The sequence below is a fragment of the Homo sapiens genome, chromosome 16, assembly GCF_000001405.40.
Source record: "Homo sapiens chromosome 16, GRCh38.p14 Primary Assembly".
NCBI classification, from domain to species: Eukaryota; Metazoa; Chordata; class Mammalia; order Primates; family Hominidae; genus Homo; species Homo sapiens.
This window is the reverse complement of record NC_000016.10, coordinates 49,837,574-49,864,894: the sequence shown is the minus strand read 5'-3', so window position 1 is coordinate 49,864,894 and position 27,321 is coordinate 49,837,574. Positions and strand designations below refer to the sequence as shown.

The 27,321-nt window shown below is 53.1% G+C and overlaps 1 protein-coding gene across 6 annotated transcripts in view, besides 3 other annotated features; it reads left to right on the top strand.

Annotated features, from left to right (window-relative positions):
* ZNF423 (zinc finger protein 423) overlaps nucleotides 5,616-27,321 on the top strand; it is a 371,756-nt gene continuing 350,050 nt past the window's right edge. For 4 of the 6 annotated variants that reach the window (NM_001379286.1, XM_047433808.1, XM_047433805.1 and 1 more), the window contains exon 1: nucleotides 8,783-9,160. In NM_001379286.1, the coding sequence (NP_001366215.1) occupies nucleotides 9,121-9,160 (40 nt within the window). In that variant the 5' untranslated portion in view covers nucleotides 8,783-9,120. Of the gene's footprint in view, nucleotides 5,637-6,975; nucleotides 7,155-8,782; nucleotides 9,161-27,321 lie in introns of those variants that run through there. The other 2 variants (XM_047433809.1, NM_001271620.2) reach the window with 2 other exon arrangements.
* Nucleotides 9,280-9,539: a silencer, noted in NCBI's record as "silent region_7462". NCBI's record gives its function as "represses an Ori minimal core promoter by ATAC-STARR-seq in GM12878 lymphoblastoid cells {active_cell/tissue: GM12878}" and the evidence as "EXISTENCE:reporter gene assay evidence [ECO:0000049][PMID:35858748]".
* Nucleotides 24,781-25,609: an enhancer, noted in NCBI's record as "H3K27ac-H3K4me1 hESC enhancer chr16:49873197-49874025 (GRCh37/hg19 assembly coordinates)". NCBI's record gives its function as "activates a minimal SCP1, AML or CMV promoter by ChIP-STARR-seq in naive and primed H9 embryonic stem cells {active_cell/tissue: H9 hESC(naive and primed)}" and the evidence as "EXISTENCE:reporter gene assay evidence [ECO:0000049][PMID:30033119]".
* Nucleotides 26,441-27,270: an enhancer, noted in NCBI's record as "H3K27ac-H3K4me1 hESC enhancer chr16:49871536-49872365 (GRCh37/hg19 assembly coordinates)". NCBI's record gives its function as "activates a minimal SCP1, AML or CMV promoter by ChIP-STARR-seq in naive H9 embryonic stem cells {active_cell/tissue: H9 hESC(naive)}" and the evidence as "EXISTENCE:reporter gene assay evidence [ECO:0000049][PMID:30033119]".

Below are 27,321 nucleotides of genomic sequence, written 5' to 3'. Positions count from 1 at the left end.
CACCTTGGCCTCCCAAAGAACTGGGATTACAGGTGTGTGAAAGAATGCCCAGCTCAAAGCCTTCTAATCAGCCTCTGTTGTCCGGCAGAAAGCCTTCATATAACAATGGTTGATTGCCCAGGGAGGTATTTGGGCACTTCCTCTGTGTGCCACACAGATTGATGTTTTTTCTCCCAAAGCCACCCCTAAGTTCTGAGCATCTGCAGGGTACTAGGGATGCAATGGGGAGCAGTGTAGACTCAGCCCTGATAATCCTCTTTCTCTCCCTCCTTCCTGGAGGCATTGGGTGTCTAAGGGCATTATATGTGCCGGTACAGGGACCACACATGCTGATGTTCTTCTGATGTTCTTCTGAAATCTCCATGGTATTTCTCCCAGGCCTGGGCATCTAGTAGGTTCTTTCCATGATGGTGGGGAAAGAGTATTTATACAAGGAAAGAAATAAATACCAGATTTTTCCCCCCAAAATGATCTAAGCCAGTTTCATCCTTTTCAGTAGATAATAGTGGTCACAAAAGAGGTCAGAGGTGGATGAAGGTTTTCTACTCCCCCACAACCTCTCTACCAGGTGATACTGAAGGCCAAATTCTGCCGCACACACTGACCATTATGAAACAGACATTGGCTGAGCACTGTGGCTCATGTCTGTAATCCTAGCATTTTGGAAGGCTGAGGCAGGCAGATTGCTTGAGGCCAGGAATTCGAGACCAGCCTGACCAATGTGGTGAAACGCTGTCTCTATAAAAAATACAAAAATTCTCTGGGTGTGGTGGTGTGTACCTGTGGTCCCAGCTACTTAGGAGGCTGAGGTGGGAGGATCGCTTGTGCTGGGGAGGTCGAGGCTACAGTGAGCTATGATCATGCCACAGCACTCCAGCCTGGGCAACTCAGTGTGACCCTGTCTCAAAAAAAAATGAATAAATAAAAAATAAAAAACCTGGATGTCCAGTAGCAAAGTAGGACCATTTTAAGCACAAAACAGATCCTGCAACCACTTTTGTGAGCTCCATGAAGTCTCAGTTCTCTATCCTTCCAGACTCTCTGACCAGTTCCAGTGTGAAAGGCACACTATGGAGATACCCATCACATTTCCAGTCAGGAATCTGTGTCCTCTACTGGGCACCATGCAGCTGAAATCCTACTCAATGGCTGGACTCAGGGCCCCTTAGGGCTCAAGGTATGTGTGCAGGGGGTTCGCCTTAAAGATACAGCTTATCCCAGCCTCTCTGGCTTTATAGTCCCTGTTCATGCAAGGTGGGGTGTGTCTCTGGATCACTTTTGCTAAACTGTACATGAGTGCTTTCAGTTTCACCAATGAGAGCCCACTGCTAAACATATCACATTTTTTGATGTCCAGTTTGCTAATTAGATTGGATGGTGGTTGGTTAAGCTACTGATGGTGGAAGGACTTGTGACCAGTCCTGAAGTGTTTGAGTCATGAAATTTGCATGCTACAGAGCATTTTGCCTTACCACTTCTGGGTAAAGCTGAAAGAATTTGACATCACATCACATTCATTAAACAGAAGTTTTAAACATTTTCTTAAAAAGTCCAGGCACAGTGGCTCATGCCTGTAATCCCAGCACTTTGGGAGGCTGAGGCAGGTGGATCACTTGAGGTCAGGAATTCGAGACCAGCCTGCCCAACATGGTGAAACCCTGTCTCTACTAAAAATACAAAAATTAGCTGGGCATGGTGGTGGGTGCCTGTAATCCCAGCTACTCGGGAAGCTGAGGCAGGAGAATCACTTGAGCCTGGAAGGCGGAGGTTGCAGTGAGCTGAGATTGCGCTACTGCACTCCAGCCTGGGTGACACAGAGCAAGACTCCATCTCAAAAAAAAAAAAAGTATTAAAATTTACAAAAATCATACTGAAAAAAAATTGTAAAGAGAATCACAAACATTATAAAATAAGTATTTTAAGAGAACAAAGCAGCAAGTGACTCTGAGCCAAGTGACCCCAGGCTCGAGCGTGCTGCACACCTGGGCAGCTACAGGTGGTTGAGGTAGATGCTCTCAGGGCCAGAGCCTGGAGTTTCAAGCTTTCTGAGGGTATGAGTCCATGGGGATCCTCCCGCCAAGTTGGTTTCCTTGCTGCCTTGTGGGTGTTCCCTGCAAAGACTGCCGATGTTTGAAGAATTAAATGATTATAATAATGATGATAAAATAGAAATGGCTTTCCCAGCTGAACAGAAACCAGAGAAGACAAGGAGGTTCCCACACCCGGCTTATTGTTTTTGGCACCAGGCTACTACAGCCCCAGAGAGCCCCAGAGAGGCAGATGTCTGGGTCCACTGCTGGCCTCTTTGAGTTGTGGTCATGGGGAGGGGGGGACAATGGGGACCTCTGGGGAATTTCAGGAGCATCTGCAGGGATTTCCCTCCTCAAAACACCAGGCTGAGAACTAAAAGCAGAGGAAAGGACTCTCTTTTCGATCTTGCCTTCCTCTCTTCTGAACCCTCAGGAGCTTCAAGACCAAGTCTTGTGAGAAGAACCCTGCAAATAATGATGAAGAGGTGAGGAAGACCTGGGCTTGTGGCAGCTGCTGGTTAACAATCATGCTGCTAGGCCATCTCCTGGAAGGCTTGACCAGAGAGCATGGTCATTGCTTCCTCAGTACCCTGAGAACAGGAGTGTTCAGGGAAACTTGGATTCTACAGATAGATGCATCATTAAAATAAAACACAACTAGCCTGGCCAATATGATGAAACCTCATTTCTACTAAAAATACAAAAGAATTAGCTGGGCATGGTGGCGCATGCCTGTAATCTCAGCTAGTTGGGAGACTGAAGCAGGTAAATTGTTTGAATCTGGGAGGCGGAGGTTGCAGTGAGCCGAGATCGTGCCACTGCACTCCAGCCTGGGCGATACAACAAGACTCTGTCTCAAAAAATAAATAAACAAATAAATAAAATAATAAAACGCAAATGCACAAAACCTTCTCAATAGACATAAAGAAGATAGAAAGCTTCTAGAAAGCAAGGGCAAGTCTGAATCAAGGAAATACCAGGGAGAAAGAGGAACTTATTGGTGCAAGGAGGGGATCTGCAGTTGTGTAACTGGCATCTCTATGAACATGATTGACCTCGGAGGTGGTGAAGGTGAGAGAGAAAAGGTAAGGGAGGACAGCGAAGGCCAGATGACTGCTGTCTTGTGGCCAGACAGGCAGCATGGACAGATGAGAAACCCTCAGGACCACCCTATGAGATCCGTGCTATCCGTTTTCTCATTTTGCAGATGCAAAACTGGAACACGGGCTCCCTTGCTCCGGGTTCTTCAGCTAGGTGGTGAGGGAAGCTGGACTGGAAAATGGATGGAATTGGCTCCTAAGCCTGGCCATGGTGGCCTTTGCCTGAGCTGTGACAACTCTCGCTGAGAAGCCTCCAGCTCCTTTGTGCCCCAGGCCCTTTGCACACACTGTTCACAGCTGGGAACTCTATTCTCCATCCCCCCGCTTGGCTCCTTCCTCCTCCTCCATAGGGCTCTCAGCAGACCACCTTTGAGACTCTGTTTTGTGGCCTCTTTGTACTATATTTTAATTTCTTCTCAGGATTGATCAAAACTATAAGTAAATAATTATTTTTGTGGCTATTTATTTATTTATTTGAGACAGAGTCTCACTCTGTTGCCCAGGCTGGAGTGCAGTGGCGTGATCCTGGCTCACTGCAACCTCTGCCTCCTGGGCTCAAGCAATTCTCATGCCTCAGTCTCCTGAGTAGCTGGGATTACAGACACCCACCACCACGCCCAGCTAATTTTTGTATTTTTAGTAGAGACTTTCACCATGTTGGCCAGGCTGGTCTCGAACTCCAGACCTCAAGTGATCCACCCATCTCAGCCTCCCAAAGTGCTGAGATTACAGATGTGTGCCACCGCGACTGGCCTTGCGTGGCCATTTATTAAGTCAGCCACCCCCCTTACCCCCTACAACTAGAGGGCAAGCCCCAACAGGGAGGAACTGCGATCTTTCTCATTCATTGTTTTACCCTCAGTCTTGGCACACAGTAAGTGCAAAATCATAAATAAATGTTGAATAAACACAGGAACAAAGCAGTGAACTTATTCTCTGGGGAAAAGCTGAAGGGATAAATCATCCCTCCCCAAAATGACTGCTCCTCATAGGCTGATGCAAATTCTCCACAGTAGGGACTGGGAGTTTCAAGTAATAAAGCAGTAAACAAAAACCACTCATTCCAGATCGTATATATTCAAGTGACTGTTGTCATTTAAAGTAAGTGATGTGTGTGTGCCTGGAAGGGGAAAAGGTGGGCATTTGTTTTTTCTTTTTCTTTTCTTTTTTTTTTTTTTTGAGATGGAGTCTTACTTTGTCACCCAGGCTGGAGTGCAGTGGCATGATCTCAGCTCACTGCAACCTCGGCCTCCCAGGTTCAAGTGATTGTCATGCCTCAGTCTCTCGAGTAGCTGGGACTACAGGTATATGCCACCAAGGCACGTGCCACCATGCCCAGATAATTTTTGTATTTTTAGTAGAGACAGGGTTTCAACATGTTGCTGGGGCTGGTCTCGAACTCATGACCTCAGATGATCCACCCATCTCAGCCTCCCAAAGTGCTGGGATGACAGGCATAAGCCAGGGCCTCCCTAGCAGGTGATCCATCCGTTTCATCTTCCCAAAGCGCTGGGATTACAGGTGTGAGCCACGGCACCTGGCCAAGGTGGGCATTTGGTCACTTACTGGAAAGCATCCCTTGAGCAACTCTGGGAGCTCTGCAGGGATCATAGGTCTGAGGCCACAAAGTGAACACTGCCTTGTTTTCTTTATTGTCCTATCTTGTTTTTGTAGCCCACCAGACCCTCGTGCATTCACCAGACTGCTCAAAATGACGCCTGCCTCTTGAAAATTCAAGGAAGAAGCCTCAGTTGCTGCACATGTAGGAAAAACATTCTTAAGGAGCATGGTTGGGGAAGGCACCGCCTTGGGCAAGAGGTTTCCCCTCTTCCAGCCAAGTTATGACTTTGAAGGAAGATGCACCTTTTTGTGGGCAAAGTCTTACTTGTTCTCAAAAACCTCAACTTGGAATTTCTCTTGCATTTATGATGGTGGCTCCTGCTCCTTACAGCTTACAGTGGGTTTCCACAGCCACTCCTCCAAGCAGGGCAGGAGCAGCTGTTCACTTTCCGGCGAAGAAGGAGAGCCCAGAGGGGCCCCTTCTCATAGGGGAGGGGACTGGACCCCCTATTCCCTGCCAGAAGTAGGCAGGTGGGGGGTATAAAACACACCTGAAAATGACCCTTTCTGGTCCAAGGTCACCCGTGAGAAGCAAGGCCCAGGTGTCACCTGGTGTCCCTTGAGGCCCTTGCAGTCCGAGCTCAGAGGTGGGTGGGGATTGCAAATAAGGAAGGCACTATTGGCTTTTTGTTCCTTTGAGATTTTCCTTAAAACAACATTTTTCTGGAAGGAGTTAAAAATGAAACAAGCTTCAGAAGAAGCGGGACGGGCCGAGGCGGGGACAAGGTCGGGCTCCCTCTGCACCCTGACTGCCGCTGAGCTGGGAGACGCCGAACTTGGCGGGGGAGGGCGGAGCGTCGGGAAACGGACATACGTGCAGGCGACGCGTGGGAGGGGGCCCGGAAAACTTTGTGAGCGGCTCCAGGATCTCGTCCTTTCGGATTAGGTCAGGATGGGCTATTGCGGGCTCCCCATCCTGTTGCCCCCACCTCCGTCCTCAGTCTTCAGCAGGCCCCTAGGGGTGGAAAAGGGCAGCCCCGTGGGACTCCAACCACCCCTCTCCCCCGACGGCCCCTCTTTCGTCCCGCACACGCATTCCCCACCGCGCTCCTTTTGTCCGCCCCCTCACTCTCCAGACTCCCGGCTGGGCAGGATCCGCAATCTCCAGCCCCCCAGAAAGCCTGGGCGGGCGAGCTGGGGGCCGTTCCCCGCCCCCTACCTCTAGCAGAGGCAGCCCGCGGCGGGGGCACCCCAGAGCCGAGGCCAATCGTCCCCCTCCCCCAGCGTGTGCCATCTGCCGCCTGTCAGCCACTCTCCGCGGGCCTCGATCCCAGGCGCCGGCGGGGGTGGGGGAGCGGCTGATTCTGCCCCTCCTTCCTGGCTCCTTCCCAGGCGCCTCGCGGCCCCTGCCCTCGCCTCGGCCCTTGGCACCCCCGGTTCAGCCCAACTCCGTCCATCCCTGGGCCGCGGGGGCGTGGGGGGGGGGGCTCCTATTCCCTCCGGGAAGGCCGAGATGTTGGACACTCTTGGACGCACAAGCTGGGGAGGACTGTGGCCTGGGGATGGTAGCGCTAACCTGGGGAGGGGCGGCCCTCAAGGCTTAGGTCTAGTTAGGGGACGTCTCGGTCCTGGCCTCCGCCCCTCTGGGGAGCCTCGCTCGCCCGCTGCCGCTGTCAGGGTGTCCAGCTAGGCGTCGCGTTTAGCCCGTCACCCGACTCTACCTCTGAGACTGCCTAGGGCGCGCGCGCCTGGCCCCCCTGCCTCAGGCCTCTCCGCATCCTCCAGCTCGCGCTCCCCAGCCGCGGGGGTGCGTGGGTGGCATCTACCTCGGCAATCAGCCCAGCACGGGGTTGGCGAGCAGGGCCCGGCGGGACCGCGGAGAGAGCTGAGCGGGGCCGGGCCCGGCTGGCCGGCAGGCTGGGGAGCGGCGGGGCGCGGGCACCCTGCGTGGGGCGGGCGCCGCGGCCCGGCCGGCCCCGGCGCTGTTCTCGGCGGGCAGCGGGTTTTTCCGTGAAAGGTTGCCCTGGGTAACTCGTCTCCGAGGGGACGTAGCCCTCCCCTCTCCAAGTGGCAACTTATCGATCCGAGAGATTGATAACCCCCAGCGCCGCGCCGTGCACCCGCTCCGTTCTCCTGGCTCCGGGGCGCGCCGGCCCAAGGTGGCGCCACTCACCCGGGAGGGGGGCGAGGTCGGGGCCGCTCCCCACCCGAGACCTGGCCGCCTGCAGCTAGTTGGGGAGGGAGAGGCTCCGAGGAACGGTTTAGGGGAGCCGTCTGGGGAAGACTTTTCCCAAGTCAGAACCCTTCCCGGGCCTGCCCGGAGACCAGAGTCTCAGCCGGTTCAGGAGCTGCGGGGGACGCGCGGCGCCCCCTGGCGGCTGGGTAAAACCTCGCAGAAAGTAGCAGCTGGTTTATTTCTTCTGACAACTGCGCGGGGAGGGGGTGCTCCTGCAAGGTCTCAGGGGTAAGGTGTTCCTTTTACAGTCGGACAGAGGAAGTGCACACCAGGCGCGAGAATTCTACAAATAAGGGTGTAGGGGGCGCACGGGGTTAGCCCAGTGGTGGAAGAATTTGTTGGATGTGGGGCAGGGGTGGTCTTTGAACACCGACCGGTGGGCAAAAGCCAACCTGGCAGAGCCAGGTCCCTGGATAGTTCATGTGCGTGAGGCATACATCGCGAGGTGGCAATACTAGGGCAGCCCAACTCCGTTTGCTCCCCCATTCTTTCACTTTTTACAGTTTGTGAGGCTCATGCGTCTTGGCGAGCTTGACAGCCGCGTGGGCCCTAAGTGTGTTCCCTCCTCCTGCCCCCGGTGCAGCCAGCGCCCGAGCCCCGGCCCCGCGTGCTGGTGCGGTGCCCGCGCCCGCGCCGTGCCTGCCGCCGCCGCCGCCGCCGCCACCACGGTCCGGGTTTTGCGGGCGGCCGGAGCTGTATTTCCAGCGCTGTCCATCGCTCGGTGCTGTTGGCCCTCTCTCCGTCTGATCCGAGCCGGAGCAGTGCGGGGCGCCCCACGGGATCAGAGCGCTCCCCCGCCGGGACTCCGCTCCTCACATCCTCCTGCTGGGACCCGGCTACATTTCCAGCCAAGCCTGGCTTTATTATGTGTCTCTGCAGTGCAGCCCCAGCAGCCGGATCGGGAGGAGGAGAGCCAGCGACCACAAAGAAGACAGGAGCGCGAGGGAGGCTGGCGGGCGGGCCGGCGCCGGCTGGAGCGCGGAGGAGCCGGGGCGCAGCCGCCGCCGCCGCTGCCCAGGAGGACGGGAGCCCGGCCGCCGCCGCCGCCGCCTGCTCGTCCTCCTCTTCCGCCACCGCGGCCGCCGCCTCCCCCCTCTCCGAGCCCCTGGCCCATGGAGGCAGCTAGCGGGGCCGGCGACTTGGCACCGGCCTGGGGATCGGCTGCGCGCCTCGCGCTGAGCACCGCAGCCCGAGGGCAGGCAGCGGCGGCCCGGCGCACGGGCTGAGCGATGCCCGGGGCACGGGCGCGCCTGCCGGCCGCCGCCTGAGCGCCCCCGCGCGCCCCTTCCTCCTCCGGGGGGCCGGCGCCGGGCCGATCCGAGAGCCAGAGAAGGGGGCGTGAGCCAGGGGCCCCGAGCCGCGGCTTCCGAGCCACTGCGGCCGTTTCGAGCCTCCCCTCCAAGTAGGCTGAGTTGAGGGACCCCCGCCCCCCATCCATCATAATCTCCAAACCAGGCGCTTGGGCATTTTTGAGCCATTAATATTTATTATTTTTTTTTGTGCGGCAGGGGATAATTCGAAGGCTTCTTTTTTTTTTTTTTCCTGGGGGGTACTGAGCTTCCGCGCTCCCGACCGCCTCCCGGTCTCCTCCCCCCTTGAGATACCCTCGACTCCAGCCCCGTTCCCCCTCCTCAGATGGGTTCATTGTGAGCTCCGCACCGGGCTGCGTGGCCGGACGCCTGCAAACTTTGCACAAAAATCCGGCAAGGGGCGGAGGAGGAGGAGAAGGAGGAGGAGGGTGAGGGTGGCGGTAGGGTGGGGGAGGGAAGGAGGGGGCCGCAGGGGCCGGGGGCCGGCGGGGGGTTGGGAGGAGGAGGGGGGCGGCTTTTTTTTTTTTTTTTTTTTTTTTTTTTTTGCATAACTCGGCTCGGCCGAGTGGCCTCCGGACTCCCCGCGCCGCTGGGACCGCCGCTTGGATCGGGAGCCCCGGACTGCCGCATTGCAACAGGCAGGGCCCCGGCGCGCCCCCCGGGCCTCCCCCCGCCTTCGAGCGGCCTCGGCCGGCCCGGGCTGCCCCCCCAAGGGAGGCCGCCCCGGACCTGCGGTCCGCTCCCCACAGCCGCCAACCGGGCTGCAAAAAAAAAAGTTTCCAAGAGACAGGCGGAGGAGAAGGGGGAGAAGGGCTGCCCGGAGCGGCGGGGGGCGGCGGGGGGAGCCGGCTGCGGAGGGCGACGGAGCGCCCGGAGCCCCGGACATGTCCAGGCGGAAGCAGGCGAAGCCGCGCTCGGTGAAAGGTGAGCGAGCGAGGCCCGGCGGAGGCGCGAGCGAGCGAGCGAGGAGGGAGGGAGCGAGGGAGGAGGGACCGGCGAGCGGGCTGGCTGCCGGGGACCCGCGCGAGCGAGCCGAGAGGAGGAGGAGGAGGCGGCAGAGGAGGCGGAGGCGGAGGCGGAGGCGGAGGAGGGGGAGGAGGAAGCCGGGAGCAGGAGGCGGAGGCGGCGGCGGCGGCGGCGGCGGCGGAGGGGGTACGCCGCGGACACCCTCCCTGCCCGGACTCGGCGCCGTCGCCCTTGGGGGACCCAGGCCTGGGGGCGCCGCTAAGGGGCCCTTGCCGCTCCCTCCGTGCGGGGCCCGGGCCCGTGTGGCCAATCAAGGGGTGCTGGCCCGACTTGGCGGGGATTGCGAATCTCGGCGGCGGCGGGCGGGCGACAGGAGGAAGGAAGAGGCGGCGAGGACGGGCGCCCGGCAGGCCGACCGCTCCTCGCTGGCCCCGGGCCTCGCTGGCTCTCTCTGGCCCCTGCCTGGTCGCCCGAGGACGCGGGGAGCGGCGGGCGCTGTCGGCGAGCGCCCCGGGCGCCGCGCCCTCGCCCCGGCCGCCTGGCGCCCCCTCCCGCCCCTGCCCAGGCCTTCTCCCGGCCCGGGCCCCTGCACTTCCTGCCTCCTCCACCGAGGCCCACCGGGCAGGGAGCCTCCGCCAGGAGTTCATTGTCTGCACGGCGCCGGCGGGACGCAGGTCCTCAGGGGAGCTCAGCGGCCGCGGTGCGCGCCCCTCCGCGGAGGGCGCCCCGGATCTGACCCCGGGCACCGGCACCCTGGATCTGACCCCGGGCACCGGCACCCTCGACACCCAGGCCGGCTTTCTGTGCTGGCTCCCCGGGGTGCGCGCGTTTGTGGGGAGCTGCAGATATATAGATACACACACCCATCCCTTCGTCTCCACGCTTTGCTTTCTATTTCCAGCGAGGGCCCCCAGCTCGAGGGGACCCCTGGAGAGTAGAGGCCCCGGGGAAAGGCCGCGCGCCGGCAGCAGAGCCCCTCCCCTGGCCTCCTCTCCCCGCGGCTGGCCTTTCCAGGCCTTGCCTGCTGCTTTGTCCCGATTCTAGCCCCTCGGTTGGGTGCCCGGGCGCTCGGCTGTGAGATGGGAGATGATCGAGGAAGGGGGGAACGATGAGAGCGGCTAAGTCTACGGAGCCAAAAGCCCCCAGGCCCTTGTCTTCTCCCATCTCCCCTGATGACCTCTGGCCTGAGCCCAGTTCTGCTCTGAAAAGTTCATTTCCTGGAGGCCTGCGCGGGAAGGCGCTGGGGCCCCGCTCCCTTCCTGCCAGCCTTGCGCCTGGCTGGAATGGCTGGAACTGAATCTGGCAAGGAGGATCTTGAGACACTCGTCAGTTCTGTCCTCCTGAAGTCCCCGGAGGGACTGCCCCCGGCCCAGCAGAGATCCTCCCCGTCATATTAGAAGGAGACCAACTGAGTCCAAACGGAGCGCCCGGCCCGTTCCTACTCCTCCTTTTCCCTGAGAGAAGTTGGTCTTGTTCGCCTCACCCTGGCTGGTCTCCCAATCCGGGACAGCCTGGCCTGCTCCACAGAACTGGGGGTTCAGAGGGTGTTCTGATTGGGGGACAGGGAAACCAGAAGAGAGACTCCAAGAAGAGGACGGGAAAGAAGGGTGGATGTTTCTCTTTTGCTGATGGAAGGGCTGTACGGCTTGAAATAATACTGGATTTCTTTTCTCTTTCCCTGGCTCACTGCTCACTCCTTCAGGAGCCACTTAAGAGGCGACCCAGAAGAAAATGTGGAATTGGAATTTCTGGTTGGAAAAACAGTTTTATTTAACTCAGGCAGTTGATTTTGAGTTTGCAAAGCTTGCTTACCTAGACTTCCAATCCACTTCTCCAAACCTCCTTACGTTAGACGGCGAGACCCAGAAAGCAAAAGGAGAGCAGTTTGCAGTGAACAGATGGGTGGGTGTTTCAAAGTTGCTTGAACCGAGTTCTAAAACCACTCTGTGGATCTCTGAGAAGGACTCAAGAATTGGTCTTCAGCCTTTCATGAAATGAGCCTTGAAATGATTTTTAGTGAGTGCCTCTCTCAAATGTGTATGTGTGTATGTGTAGCAGACAGTTCAAGCAGGTTGGTAGGAGAAAGGCAGCAAGGTGAACAGGAGACCAGTGGAGGCATTTCGAGACTCGGTGTTGTAAATATCAGCCACACAGAGCCTTTCTGTCCGCAGAGTCAGAGACCCCCTGATTCTTCCCATGGCTTTTTGCATTTTCCAAAAGCAGCTACAACCCTTGTCTCTCACCATTTTACCTTTTATTCTGTTTACTGGGGTGAAGAGGGTGGAGATGTGGCCACTTATCAAGGGAGGAATTAAGAGAGAAGATAATTTGGATAGATAAGAGTTCCAGCAGGTGAGGGATTTATTGCTTTTCAAGAACTGCTCCCCCCCCGCCCCGCCCCTTCTCTTAAGCAATATTCAAAAGTGTGTGCTTGAGTGTGGACAGCTCCACACCAAGTGTTTGAAACGACAAGGTCTTCACCTTTAAAGATGCTTGAAAGTGCTTCTTAAGGAACAGCGGTGTCTTTTACATTTTATTTTATTTTATTTTGCCTCCACTGCTGTGTGTCAGGGCTAATGTAGAGGCTTTGTGGACTTCCCCGGCCCCGAGCATTCTGCTGTGAAAGTCGCTTGACTGTAATTTGTAGTTGATCTCGGAAATGTGAAAGTCCATAGCAGGAAGGAAAGACAGAAATACAACAATTTCGAATGGATGCTCAGAAAGTGTGATTTGAAAGCACAGGCATTGCTGCTTTGAAAATAAAACTGGCCTCTGGGGGCTGGGGTGGTCTCACTTCCCACTCACGGACACAACCTCCCTTCTGGAGTGGGGTCCCTTGTCCCCGCAGTGTGTTTGTCCTTCTTTGGAAAACCCAGCTCACAGGGAGGACACCTAGTAAATAGGGAAGGGGGTTGGGGCACTAGGGGAGGGGGGAGAATAGCCTCATTGGTTTTCAGAAGCCTTGTAATTTTATTTAAAAAAAAACAACCCTAAAGCCGGGAGTGTTATAAAAGTCACATTTTTCTGACCGATTTTCCCTCCCTACACCTTTCTCCCCTTTTTTGTTTCCTGGTGGTGTGGTATGGTGTGGTGGTTGCAGTGATTTGTTCTCTTTGATAATTTTGGCCTCATTTTCCCGGGCTGTTCTCATCATGCTCACTGATGTTATTTCGGCCGATGATATCAGGTGGTTTGGTTAACGATTACCACTGCAGTTCTCTCTGTCACTCAACATTAAGGAGGCCTGTCCCCTTTCACCCCATGGCTTTCTCAGATCCATGCAACAGCCTCTTCATTTATAGAGAAAATTGATACATCTTTTCCCTTGCCTTAGCTTAAAACTTTTGAATAATTTTAATACTGTCAATTTTCTCTCTCTAGCAACTGCCTGTTAATTACAGTTCTTAATATTAATTAGCGCTCAGGCTATGTCCATACACCCGCCCACCCCAACGTCCCAAAGTACCCCCAGTGACCTCTCGGCACTCCCTTCCCCTTCTTTGTCTTCCTCTTCTGCCAGCGTGTAGCTCCTCTAAGTCCATCTTATAAATTTGGTGGTCTAGGGACTTGGGAACACTGCGCGTGTTTCCATGGAAATAATTGAGATGTAATAAATAGAGGCGTTCTGAGGTTACAGGTTTCTCGATTCAGCTGAGACCACATACAAGTATAAATTGTCGAGATTTGTTTGGCTAAATGTACATGATCTTGTAGGAAGGGCAAAACAAATCCTTTATAGGGTCTTTAGCTTTCTATGTGGAGTGGGGTAGCTAACATTTAATCCTAATGTTTAATCCCCCCTCCTCAATTAAGTTATCGATTCCCAGCTTTGGTAGGGCCTGTTTCATTCTAGAAAACATCCTTTACGTCTAGTAATTGCTGTTTAGATTCTTACACCTGTTTCCTTGCAAAAACTTAATAAGCAATAAAATAAGATAACTATGTGCCTCTGGCAGGGGAATCCTGCTAAACGGTTAACCATGAGGTGCCTAGCGTGCATTCATAATGAAAGGTGCAAAATGCGGGTGACTTTACAGTCATAAAGTAATTCAGAAGAAGCAGCCAGCCCTGGCAATGTTGTGGCATGCTACAGTGTGTTAACAGAGGAGGAGGAGGAGGGGGAACCAGGAAGGCAGGAAACTGGAGCACTTGAGTACAGCGTTCCTAGCTGGAGACGAAAGGCTGGGGATCTGGTTCAATCTAATAGAAAGTTGCAATAATTGCTATATCGGTAGCCAACTCTTAAGCTAGTGGCTGTGGAATTCTTCCCCTGATGTAGGATTTAATAGTCTGGCAATTAGATGCATTGATTTCTCTTAACTGTTCATTTGGATGTGTAAACGAAAGGAACCTACCACTGAGGCTGATGGTGCAGACATGCTCCCCGGCTCTTTGAAAAAGGCTGATTTAGGTGGTGGTGGTGGGAGTATATGCTTTTTCAAGGCAGTGTTAGGACCAGTTCCCTCTTCTTTCAAAATTTCTGTCCATTCTGTAGTGAAGTGAACGGCACCTGTTCAAATTCTGTTTAAAAATAAAACAACGGTATCCCATTATAGCTGAAAAGTAAAAACATCCTTTTCTGCCGCAGATGCTGAGAGTGCTTTCCCTGTCTTTGAGTGACTGGACTTTGTGGCAGGTGGTCTGTAGGGTACCAAAGGGGCAAGTCACAGAGCCTTTCGGCTCTGAGTTCCCGACAGCCCTCCTGCAGAGATAGTTCTTGCTCCCACTCCTCCTCAACAATGGTCTGAGACTTGTGACCACCTAGACCAGTGGCTCTGTCAAGCCTGGACTGGATGTGGGGACATGGCATCTTGGAAGGTTGGAAGGCTGTGAGATGTCAGTGGCTTGGAAAGTGTCTGGGAAATGACCTCTTTGAAACATGAGGCTCTCTAACTTCCTGCTTCTGGACTTGCAGTTTTCTGTAAGTGTCAACAACTTCTGACATGCAGGCATCTGAAACTGTCTCGAAAGTAAGCAGGCAGAGGATGGCTGGATTTCCTGATGGCCCCATCGTTTTTGCCAAGGTGGTGGGTGCGTTTAGTTCACTCTTTGACATAGGTTAGGATGGACTTGGCTTTCCTGGCCACTGGCTGAAGCAAAGCCCAGCCTTGTCCACGGCACGCTGGTGTTTGCAAAGGGTATTATCTTCATGTCTTGAAAACATTTGCAGAAGATATCAGGGTTCCTTCGTATCTGTGAGTCTAGGTTGATTACAGTAGAATACCTTGAAAACTGTTAGTGGGGTCCCCATTATTTGGGTAGCCAGGAAAACCCCGATACACTGTGGTTGGAGAATTTGACAATTTCTGCAAATTCCCGTCAGCTTGCAAGGGCATCTTGTGCATGGACATGTTAGCGGGTAATCAGAGAAGTTTCCCACCCAAAATGGATGAATTGAACCTGGATTGGTTACATCCCGCTTGAAGTTTTTGGGGCTGGCTGTCAGCTCCCTCAGCCTACTGTGGGAGAGGCAGGGTGAAGTGAGTGAGGAAATGCTGATGGAAACTTTTGATTCATAGCTTACCTGCCAGGATCGGTGGCAGCCAACGATTGGGGTTGTACACTCAGTAAATAAAAATACTTTACCGCTTTCAAGGAGCGCCAATTAGCTGATTGCTCCATGTGGCTGTCTTTAAGGAGAATGCTGTTTTACCTATCTTCTTGCACAAAGGTTTGATTTTTAATGTCTTGTGAAAAGGATTCTCTTTGTCTTGATTGATGTCAGGAATAAAAGCATGATGGTAATATCCCTTTGAAAGCTATTGTATTGTCAGCCCTCGCTGACAGCGGGACGGCCTCCCAGCGTTATAGATTGGTGCTGTGAAAACACTGACATTTTCTTTGTTACGTTGCTGTTGTTCTACTTGCAAAGTCAATTACACAATGTCGGAGCTCAGTTACCAAGTTGACTTTGGAGGTAACAATGTCTTTCATTCTCTTTTTAAAGATATAATTTCCCTTTGTTGTTGTGGTTGTTGTTTCGTTTTCTTTCTTTTTTAACCTGCCTCCCTCTGTTTACCTCCCCTCCCTCTTGCCTCACCCCCCTCAAGAGTCTGAACATCCTAGCTAGGCAAACACACTCTGGTTTCAATTGTGACAAGTCAAATTCAAAGGCAACCACATCATTATCTCCGAATTCTTCAACTCATTCACATTTCAGTGGCTTCTTATTGATATAGTGACTAAAGCAGCCAAGATACATAAAAACCCATCAAATGAGATTGCAGTGTTGATAATCTCTTATCAAGTGGGTTGTTCTCTGGATTTGGGGTCATTGAGGTTGGCAAATTCAGAGTTTTCTTTCTTTCTTTTTTTTGTGGAGACTACAACCTGGGCTGAACCAGGTTCTGGGTCGATGGGACCCTGGCAAACAGTTTTTTCTTACAGAAGATTTATAGGCATTTGTATCTCAGAGGCTGGAGCCATTGAGTTCTGGATTTGGGATCCTGAATGACGTCATGTAGAAGGGTAGAAGGGGTCTCATAAGAAAATCATGTCATCTGTCCTTCTCCCTTTGCAGATGGCAAACTCCAATCATAAGGCGATCCTATCAGGTGATCCCAGTGTGCCCACTAAGGACTCAGGAGTGATTTGCATTCCCGTCTAAGTGTGCAAAATCTTGCTACTGAACAGGAGGAGAAAACCTTGAAAAATATTCAAAGCTGAATATGGTTCAGGTGGATATTTTTTAGATGCCTGCCCCCTATCTTCTGTCCCTCCCTGCCTTCCCCAGAAAGAGGAAACCCTAATTCCTTAGTTCTCTAAACCTGGTCATCCAAGAAGCAGTGACCTTCGAGCTGCGGGTTGTTGGAGCATCCTCCTGCCTGATACACTGCGGTGCGAGGTGCTGCCCTGCTGCCAACTGCCTCCAGATGACAGGGATCCATCAGGAAACTCCGTCCGAGACACTAATTGTGGGCCCCCGAAGTTATTATTATGAACCACCAGACAAGAGCCTGTATTCGCCAGCAATTTGTCAGGACTAATTTTGTTTTTCTCCAATAATTGAAAATTAATGTCTTGAAGTGAAAGCAGATGTTCATGTCATCTTCTGAATTGGGATATAAAATGGGGCTCTGTGGATGTGCTAATTTAACAGCAATTTCCCTCTCCCAGATAATGGGGGTGCTGGGGCTGATGTCACCTTTGGAGCAGGGACCAGGGGCCGGGAGAGAGACAGAGGCCTGGGTTATGCTTGTGCTTCTCGAGGGTTTGTTTTGGAGGGAGAACCCATACAGAAAAAGATTTGCTTGTGCTATGAAAGTTGGAGAACTCACTGTTTTGAATATTCATTTGCAGAAGAAGTATTTTTTGAGGTAATTCAAGCATTATGCTGGGGAGCCTTTGTTTGGGGAAAGGGTGGCTTCATACAGATGAGTGGATCCCCAGCTGTCATGCCTATCACCGTCACCTACAATAAAGCTGGTTAAATTGCATATTCCTGGGCCCAGGTCCTGCAGATGCTCACCTGGCTGGTCTGAGGAGGGGCTTAGATCTCTTCATCCCCCAACTCCTGCTTTTAAGCAATTTTGATAAAATATACGTAACTTAAAATTTACCATCTTAACCATTTTTTTTTCCTTTTTTTACAGACAGGATCTTGCTCTGTCCCCCAGGCTGGAGTGCAGTGACGTGATCGTAGTTCACTGCAGCCTTGAACTCCTGGGCTCAAGCAGTCCTCTCACCTCAGTCTCCCGAGTAGCTAGAACTACAGGCTAATTTCTTAATTTTATTATTTGTAGAGATGGGTCTATGCTGCCCAGGCTGGTCTTGAATGCCAGGCTTCAGGGAATCCTCCTGCCTCGACCTCCCAAAATGCTGGGATTACAGGCATGAGGCACCTTGCATGGCCCATCTTAACCATTTTTCAGAGGCATTAAGTACATACACATTGTTGTCGGGCTGTCACCACCATGAATTTTTCATTTATAGTTGGCACCCAAATGATGGTGGATTAGGGATCTGCAGCCCACTACCCCAGAGGAGGTCATCCAGGCCAGCCTCCCATTTCCAGGGTAAGAATGAGAAACAGAGGCTTAGAAGATGAGGCCATTCTCTCGGCGGGGGGCGGGGGGGTATGTTCTTTGCCTTGTTCTAGTGTAAGAGGTGAGATTGGATTGTCCAAGGCTAGGGCAGGGCATAAGACTAGGGTTCCATCAGGGCTGGGGGAAAGGGCAGGTGGGGTGCTAATAAGGACTTGCTGAGTGATCTGATGACCATTATTAGGATTAGAATATTTGTTTTGTCTCCTTGTGGGGACAGCATTCTTTTGAGACTGTGCCTGGTGGGTTGCGAGCTTGCCCAGTGGCCCTGGCAGATCCCTTGTGGCCCCTATGCCTGCCTGCCAGGACTCAGCTCCCTCGGCCTACCCAGTCCTGCACACTTAGGCCAGTTTGTCTATGACAAGGAGAGAGAAGAATGGCTGTTTTGTCCACTTGATTGCCTTGCTTTCTAGACCATCTTGGGCCCAAAGGTCTAGGCTTTGCAAACTCTTCACTGCCTCGCTCCTTGGAGGTGCTTGGAAACTTTTTCTCCCCCTGTTTTCTCTGTAATTGAAATTTGCCCTTTCGTTACCTGGGCATGAATTATTTTTTGCAGTGTTGTCATTCCCTATCCTGCTGTGAGGTTTATCTCTTCTGTTGATCCTAATTAAATAAAACATACTGTTCACCTAACTCCTGTTGCACTGAATTTTACCTGCCTGAAGGCAGAGTGATGACCATCTGGGCTTAGTTAGGGAGGTGGGCATGGCTGGAGAGGGCAGCTGGGTTGGTATGACTACACATTCAGGCTGGAAGACTGGGCAGGGGGACCTCCTTGGCCTGGAGGCTGCAGAACCTTGGAGCCACCAGCAACATAGAGTATATTTTTGGTTCCTGAACAAGAGATATGGCTTTGTCCCTCACCCCCTGTGGCTGCAGTTTTGAACTTGGAGAGAGGAGAGACAATCATCAGCTCCTGAGGGTCCCCAGGGAGAGGGAGAGGGAGGAGAAGCAGGTGCCCTGAAGTGGGGAGATGGAAAGAGGAGGCAGGCTTCTGTCTCTGGGGTGGAGGCCACAGAGAGTGCTGGGGTCTCTGGGGAGCAGCAAGCAGTGCACGGGTTCTCAGTGCCCAGGACAGCCCCTGCAGATGCCTTGTGCCCCTTAGGGAGACGCTGGCCAGCCAGGGGCCAGACACACATTTTGGGAAGATTCACTGTTTTTGCCTTTGAGCCTCTCCTAATCCTGAAAAACACAGGTTGAAAAGGAACCTTGGAGCTCACTTCATTTACACTTCTTTGGGTGTGTTTCTGGCAACCTTGGTTTCATCCAGCCTGGACGTACACACTTTCACTCGCAGGGCGCTCACTACCTCTGTGGCATATCTATGCCTTTTTTTTTTTTTTTTTTTTTTGAGACAGAGTCTTGCTCTGTCAGCCAGGCTGGAGTGCAGTGGCACGATCTTGGCTCATTGCAGCCCCCACCTCCCAGGCTCAAGCAATTCCTGCCTCAGCCTCCCGAGTAGCTGGGATTACAGGCATGTGCCACCAGGCCTGGCTAATTTTTGTGTTTTTATTAGAGATGGAGTTTCACCATGTTGGCCAGGCTGGTCTCGAACTCCTAACCTCAGGTAATCCGCCTGCCTCGGCCTCATCCGTGGCTTTTTAGCTTGAATTTCACACATGAAGCTGCAGTCTCCTCTCTGTGTTGGTCCTGGTTCCACCTCCTGGGGCCACAGTGAATAGCTCAAATCCCCAGTCCCTCCAGCAGCCCCATGTCCTGCCTTTCTCAGGGGAAGGGTCTCATGTATGGGATGCCAGCAGCCTGCTGGGCTTCCAGGGCTCCATGCTCATTCAGAAATGGCCTTGGCTGGGTGCAGTGGTGGCTTATGCCTGTAATCCCAACACTTTGAGAAACCGAGGCAGGTGAATTGCTTGAGCTCAGGAGTTCGAGACCAGCCTGGGCAACATGGCGAAACCACCTCTCTACAAAAAATAAAAAAAAAATTAGGAGGGTGTGGTGGCAGGAGCCTGTAGTCCCAGCTACTTAGGAGGCTAAGGTGGGAGAATCACCTGAGCCCGGAAGGTTGAGGCTGTGGTGAGCCATGATCATGCCACTGTGTTCCAGCCTGGGTGACAGAGTGAGACCCTTTCTCAAAACAAAACAAACCAAAACAAAACAAAACAAAAATGGGAGCCGTGGTGGCTCAGAACTGTTGTCCCGGTGCATAAGAAGGCGAGGCTACGTGTTCGAGTTCAACCTGGGCAACATTAAAACAAAAAACCTCTCATCCATTAAAAAAAAAAAATTGCTGGGCGCAGTGGCTCACACCTGTAATTCCAGCATTTTGGGAGGCTGAGGGGGGCAGATCACCTGAGATCAGGAGTTTGAGACCAGCCTGGCCAACATGGTGAAACCCTGTCTCCACTAAAAATAAAAAAAATAGCCAGGCGTGGTGGCATGCGCCTGTAATCTCAGCTACCCAGGAGGCTGAGGCAGGAGAATCGCTGGAACCCACTGCACTCCAGCCTGGGTGACAGAGCAAGACTCCATCTTAAAACAAAAACAAACAAACAAAAAACCCCAAAAAACACAAACAAACAAAAAAATCTGGCCTCAATCTTCTGGGTCATTATGTCTAAAAGATTTGTTTTTTTTTTTTTTTTTTTTTTTTTTTTGAGATGGAGTTTCGCTCTTGATGCCCAGGCTTGAGTGCAATGGCGCGAACTCTGCTCACTGCAACCTCTGCCTCCTGGGTTCAAATGATTCTCCTGCCTCAGCCTCATGAGTAGCTGGGATTACAGGCATGTGCCACCACACGTGGCTAATTTTGTATTTTTAGTAGAGACAGAGTTTCTCCATTTGGCCAGGCTGGACTTGATCTCCCGACCTCAGGTGTACACCCTTCTCAGCCTCCCAGAGTGCTGGGATTACAGGCGTGAGCCACAGGGCCTCGCCAATATTTATTAAATGAATGAGTGAATGTGTGAATTGTTGAAGGAATAAATATGAATGGGGAATAAATATGAATGGGTGAACAAGTGAATGAATGAATGAGTGACTAGTGAGTAAATGACTCGATGAGTAAATGGATTCATAAGTGATGAGTGGATAAGTGAGTGGGTGAACTGAGAGGGAGCACAGGCCTTTGCAGGACTTGGGTTCACCGTGAGAGTCAGTCTTTGTGGGCCCCTCCCGCTGCCCCAGCCTCTGTTCCTGATGAGGAGGTGGGAGCTGCAGGACACCCGGCTGGGAGAGGCTGATGCCGGTTCTCCTTCATACTCAGGGTACATTGTGCTGTGAGATTGCAGCTGCTGTTTATCGAGGGCTTTGTGTCATGGATTGTGTTAGGCTTGTAAAACATTGCTTTTAAAATGATAAAAGCAATGTGAGATTTTTGTACTAATTTAATTTTAATTATTTATTTTCTTAAAGTTTGGATCTTGCTCTGCTACCCAGGCTGGAGTACATTGATGTTATCATAGCTCACTGCCACCTCAAACTCCTGGGCTCAAGCTATCCTCCTTCCTTAGCCTCCTGAGTTGCTGGGACTATAGGTGCGAGTCACCATGTCCGCCTCTTTTTTTTTTTTTTTTTAACAGATGGAGTTCTTCATGTGTTGTTTAGCCTGGTCTCAAACGATTCTCCCACCTCGGGCTTTCAGAATGTTGAGATTACAGGCATACGCCTCTGTGCCTGGACTTAATTTTAAATAAAACAGAATGTTCAACTCAATAACCTTGCCATCCTGCCTGTGACGCTCATCCTGCTACATCATTGCCATGGCTCAGAATAAACACATTTGACCAGCTCGATCCTGGCCAGGGATCAGCCACCATTAAGTGGCCTTGGGACCCTCTTCATCTTTGGAGGGGGGGTGGTCTGCCCTAGGAACAGCACTAGGAGTGAGGGGTGGGGCCAGCTAAGTGGGCGGGAGGGGGAAATGGGATGTGTTGGTAGGGAACCTGCCAATCACTCAGAATAGAAAAGAAAGACCCCATTCTCCCTGAAGGTCTGAGTCAAGATTCCTTCATTTCTCTCCTTGGGGAGGGGAGGGGGTTGGAGGAAACATACTCTGACTTTGGGCAAGACAGTTCCTTCTATGGGCCTCAGTTTCCTAGTTTTCTATGTTTTCCTAGTTTCTCAGTTTTCTATGAAATAGGATAGAACTAGTAGGGTTAGCTACATGAGTTAAGTTTCCAATCTTGGTTAGTTGCACATCAGTATCATCCTAGGCACTTAAAAAATAACATTACCTGGGCTCCACCATAGATGAAATAATCCAGAATCTCTGAGGATGGGGGTAATTGGAATGTGCAGCCAGGGTTAGGAACCATTAGTCTAGGAGATAGCACCTAGAGTATATAAATCTGTTCCATGTTAATAGCCATAAGGAGGTCTACAGAATCGTTGCACCAGACTTTATTTACAGTCTTCCATTGGTGAACATTTAGTTGCTTCCAGTTTTTTGCTGTTTTAAATGATGATGCAGGGAGTATCCTCATTTATAACCTTTGTGTTCTTGTTTGAGTGTTTCTTTGGCTGGATTCCTAGAAGTGAAATTGTTGGGTCAAAGGGTATTCACTCGAAAAATCTGATAAATATTTCCAAATTGCCTTCCACAAAGTCTGTACCAATTTACCCTTCAATAATAGGGCATGAATGCACATTTCTCCTAATCCTTGCCCGTATGTGATGATGTTTTGTTTTTTCTTTTTCCTTTTTTTTTTTTTTTTGAGACGGAGTCTTGCTCTGTTGCCAGGCTGGAGTGCAATGGCGTGATCTTGCCTCACTGCAACCTCCGCCTCCCGGGTTCAAGTGATTCTCCTGCCTCAGCCTCCCGAGTAGCTGGGACTAGAGGCACATGCCAGTACGCCCGGCTAATTTTTTATTTTTATTTTTAGTGGAGATAGGGTTTCACCATGTTGGCCAGGATGGTCTCAATCTCTTGACCTTGTGATCCACCTGCCTTGGGCTCCCAAAGTGCTGGAATTACAGGCGTGAGCTACGGCGCCCAGCCTTTTTCTCTTTCCGTTTTCTTTTTGGCAATCTGGCAGGCAAAAAATGGCACATTGTTTAAATTTGCACTTCCCTAATTATTAGTGATGTTGCCTTTTATTTTTTCCCCCCCAAGATATGAGGCCTTGCTATGTTGCCTAGGCTGGTCTCAAACTCTTGGGCTCAAGTGATCCTTCCACCTTGGCCTCCTAAAATGTTGGGATTATAGGTACGAGCCACCACACCTGGCCTTTTATGTTTATGGGCCTGCCTGCCTGCCTGCCTGCCTGCCTGCCTGCCTGCCTTCCTTCCTTCCTTCCTTCCTTCCTTCCTTCCTTCCTTCCTTCCTGTCTCTCTCCCTTCCCTTCCCTTCCCTTCCCTTCCCTTCCCTTCCCTTCCCTTCCCTCGCCTCCCCTCCCCTCCCCTCCCCTCCCCTCCCCTCCCCTCCCTTCCCCTCCCCTCCTTTCCCCTCCCTTCCCTTCCCTTCTCTTCCTCTGTCGCACAGGCTGGAGTGCAGTGCCACGATCTCGGTTCACTGTGACCTCTGCCTCCCAGGTTCAAGTGATTCTCCTGCCTCAGCCTCCCGAGTAGCTGGGATTACAGGCGCCTGCCCCCCATGCCTGGCTAATTTATGTATTTTTAGTAGAGACAGGGTTTCGCTATGTTGGCCAGGCTGGTCTCGAGCTACTGACCTCAGGTGATCCGCCCGCATGGGCCTCCCAAAGTGCTGGGATTGCAGGCGTGAGCCACAGCACCTGGCCATTTTTCTTTCTTCTTCTGAAGGGTCACTGCACTATAGAGCTTGGAGATATGGGCATTTCTTTCCCTTGGTGAGTCCTTTGGTTGTCTGCCCTCCTTCTTTCCCTTTCACATCCATCCTTCCATGTAAATCCTGAGCATCTGACTCAGGTGAGGCTTAGCCTAGGCTCCAAGGAAGATGCAGAGAGAACGCAGAGGAGGCCACGTCCTCAGGAAGCCTGGAGGCCAGAGAGGGGAGTAGACCCTAACCACTGGACCAGACAAGGCAGCCTAGGACAGAAGTGTGGGCTGAGGGCTGTGGGAGGGGTGAGAGAGTTTCGGGGGATTCCCTTTGGTAGGGGAATCAGGTAAAGCCTGGAAGAGCGGGTAGCATTTTTTATTTGGTCCCTGAGGGATGGAATCACAACACCAAGAGTAGCTAGCCTCTAATGGGCACCCCTTGTATACAGGCACTGGGCTATGCACGTTACGGGCAGTACCTCATGGAATCCTGACACTTGCTTTTGACTGCTGAGGTGGGGACCTTAGGCTTTCTTTTTTACCAGCAGTCCTGGAGCTTGGAGAACCCTCAGCTGAGGTTCCTTTTCATAAAGATGATTAAACTTGCCCAGAGAGGGCAAGCTAGGTGTCCAAGGTCATACAGTGACCTTGTGGCAGAATTGTGCCTGGGGATAGGAGAAGGGGGAGCTGGAGGATCTTGCTGCTGCCACTGTCCTGCCTTCGGAACAACCTAGGATCCCCAAGCTTCTGGAGTGGGGGGAGGATTCTGAGCAGACAGATTTGGGCTCCTACCCCTCTTTCCCCACGTCCTTGCCATGTTATTGGTAAGCCTCAGTTTCTTTTCCTTTGAAATGGGCTCTACTCCCAGGAGAGAGGTGAGGAGGAAATCTCAGGTAAGGAAGAGCTTGTTGTTCAGGCTTTAGCCTGTCATTTGCTGGGGCAACCCTGCCCTTTTTAGAGACACCAGGTTTGAAGGGGGCTTTTGGATCTCTCCTCGAATCCGTCCTCCCCACCCCACCAGAAAACAGTTGCCCTTCTCAAGGGGCTTCCTGGCCAGGCTCAGGGAAGCGGCTGTGTGGGAGGGCATATGCCCTATAATAGTTGTGCATGTGTGTGAGTCTGTGTGCCTGTATGTGCACATAAGTGTGCATGCATGACTGTGCGTGTGTCTGAGTCTGTGTGGGTACCTGTTGGGTATGTGTGTGCATGTGTGTGAGTCTGTGTGTACTAGTGTGTGCATGTGGATGCATGCGAGAGTGTGTACACGTGTGCATGAATGCATATGTGTGTGTGCATGTGTGTGCCTGTGTGAGTGGTCATATGTGCCAGCTTCCAGGGCAAAGAGACTCTTCAAATTGCTTGCGTGATTCAGACTCTCAGTACAGGGACAGAGAACATACTAGTGGGTGGTAGACTTTGCTTATGAATTTACTTTATATCCATTCATTGAGATATTTTCGGAGCATTGTGTTTAACCTGACCCTGTAACGAGAAAGAAGCAAGTTCTTCCTTTCTAAGATTCAGCTGGCCATGTGTAAAGTTGTGGTTGTGAGGATGGGAAATAAATTTATATTGGCATTTCCCAAAATGTATTCCAGGATTTTGTTGATGTTCCACCCCCCCAAAAAGAGAAAAGTTTTCTGTCGCCAAATGCATTTGGCAAACACTGGATTAAACAGAGTTAAAATTTTTTTTAAAAAAACTTCACGGCTTCTCGGAGCCCTTAAAATGCCAGCGTGGGACTCTGAGAGATGTTAATAATTTGTGATTTCCAAACTTATTTGATCACTTGTCATGGAATCCTCTTATCTGGGGCACGGTTTAGGTTTCAAGGCTTTTAGGAGCTGCTATCATTAGCTGCTGCTCATTTGTTCATTCATTCCTCGCACATGTTTACTGAGAACCTACTATGTACCAGGCAGTATTCAAGGTGCTGTGGCCACCACGTGGACAGGTTTATTCTAGTTGAGTGAGGAGCCATCTGCAAGCATATTTCTGTTAAGCAAATTAGGTTCTGGGGCAGGCAGGGAGGCTGTGCAGAGAAGGCCATCCTGGAGGTGATGCTGGATCCCAGATGGTGAAGGGGGCTGCTTCATGAGGGGAGCTGGGGGCCTGGAGGTCTTTGTGGTTGATGCTTTGGGAGGCTGGGAGGTTGTGGCAGGTGGGGGTCCTTCTCTGAGCCTCTGTCTCTTCACCCTGGGAGGGCGGCGAGCCGGCTGGGAAGGTGCAGGCTGCAGCTTCAGCCAGCAGGCTGGGTGGGGCCCGGCTCTGTTCTCTCTGGAGGCTTTCCTGGGGCCGCGAGTCAGTTCCTTGGGGCTGTTTCTGGGCAGAAGCCGCTTCAGGGTCCCAGTCTTGCCCTGGGGACCTCAGTGTCATGTCCCGCTCCTCCGCTGCAGACATGCAGGCCTCTCAATGCACAGGTAACTGGGAGGGCTCAGAGGATGGGCCTCCCTGGGCCTGCCTGCTGTGAGCGCCACCCGGCAGAACTCCTGCCTGTGCGGGCCACTGCACTGCTCCCTGTGCCTGGCACTGGACCACGTTCCCACCCCCATCTGACAGATGGGCACATGGGGCCAGGAGGCTCCCACAGCCCGTTACCTCAGAGGCCGGCCCCTCTCCAAGGCATCTAGCCCTTCTCCAAGCCAGGGCTGTGGCCTGAGGCTTGTGGGGTGGGAGGAAGTGTCTGGGTGTGGGGGCCGAGATTTCCAGGACGGGAGGTGGGATCTGAACCCTCCACGGTCCCCCTGGAGTCCGATTGCGCAGTTGCCTTGTAGGATCTGGGTCCTGGGATGAGGGGAGGGGACGGAGAAACCGCGGGGGAGGGGAAGGGGTCAAGGGTCGGAGAGGAGGAAGAAATCCAGGGTGGGGTGGCAGTTGGGGAGGAGGCGGGGAAGAGGGGGGATGGCTGGGAAGAGGCGGGGAAAATCAGGGGAGGGGGCCTCGGGGCTCTTCCCGCCCAGCTACCCGAGGGGAGCCCGGCCGACGCTTGGGAACGCAGCCCCTCCCGGGCCCTTGTCTGCCCGGCCCGCGGGGGCGGCCCCGGGACCCCTTTGAGGCGGCGGCATTGGGAACGCGCTGGGCCGCCCCCCGCGCGGGAGGGCTCCATGGCTGCGGCGCAGTCACTCAGGGCCAGGTTCGGGCACAAAGCGGCCGCGGCGGGGGGCCGGCTGGGAAGGCGCAGGCTGCGCAGCTCGCTCACGCGGCCCGGGTGGGGCCTGGCTTGTTCTGCGCCGCGGGCCGCCCCCCGGCCGCCCGCCCCTCGGAGTCTGGCGCCCTCAGGACTCCTGGTCCCAGGCCCAGCGCTGGGGACGGCGGCGTCGAGCCCACAGCTGGTGCCGCCCTTGGGTGGGCTGCGGGCCCGCCAGCCAGATGTGCGCCTCGGGAGCCCTGGGGCACCGGAACCCCGATCGGGCCTCCGCTTTGGGGTGGGGCTGGGGGAAGGCGAGTGACAGCCGCAGGGCCATTCCCTGGTACATCCTCATACACGTAATGCCGCTGAGCGCACTTCCCAGGTACTGAGGACTGTTCTGAGCACTTAACACTCGTTGATTCATTCAAGGTTCACAGCACCCCTGTGAAATAGGTACGTGATGTGTATCCCCATTTTACAGAGGAGGAAACCGAGGCACGGGGAAGTAAAATAAATGGCCCAGTGCCCCACAGCTAGGGCAAGATTTGAACGGAGGCACTCCAGCCCCAGAACTGTGCTCAGCCCCTGCAAGGTGCCCAGGCCTGCGTGGTGGGCTGGAGGCCTGGCCCCGGGGGTGCAGCTTCCAGTGCATCAGCACGTATCCAGTAAATTACAGATGAAGATTGGCACACAGATTTGAGTCATGATTCTGGGTTTGCCGCTTAAAATTCCTTCTCTGGATGGATCCTTCTTGACTTCATTCATTCACTGGATGGATAGTTCTGAGTTTGTGATGGGCCAAATGCTAGTGCTGGGTCCTTGCCTTCAGGGAGCTTACGGCTTAGTAGCAAGACAGACAATAAAGAGTGAGCAGCTCCCCGGATTGTAATTGTTCATTGAGAGACCGCTCTGGCTTATCTGACTTCGACAAGGTCCTCCCGGGAGGGCACTGCAGAGGAAGTGACGTGACCGCTGGTGTAGGAAGATGAGAGGGAACTGCAGAGGACAGTGGCTAGTCTCCTCTGGCTCTGAACTCATTCACTAGGGCTGCCTCTGCCTGCCTTGGGCCCGCCCCATGTGGGGAAGGAGGGAGAAGAAGAGGCCATAGTCTCTGTCCACGAGGACATGATGGGACAAAATCTGGGGGAGTTTTGAGTGTGACTGTCTGGAGGGGCAGGGGCAAGTGCTGGCAGGCTCTCCTGGAAGGGCTGGAGCAGGGATGAAGGAAGAGGCAGGGTCGGGTACTGGGAGAG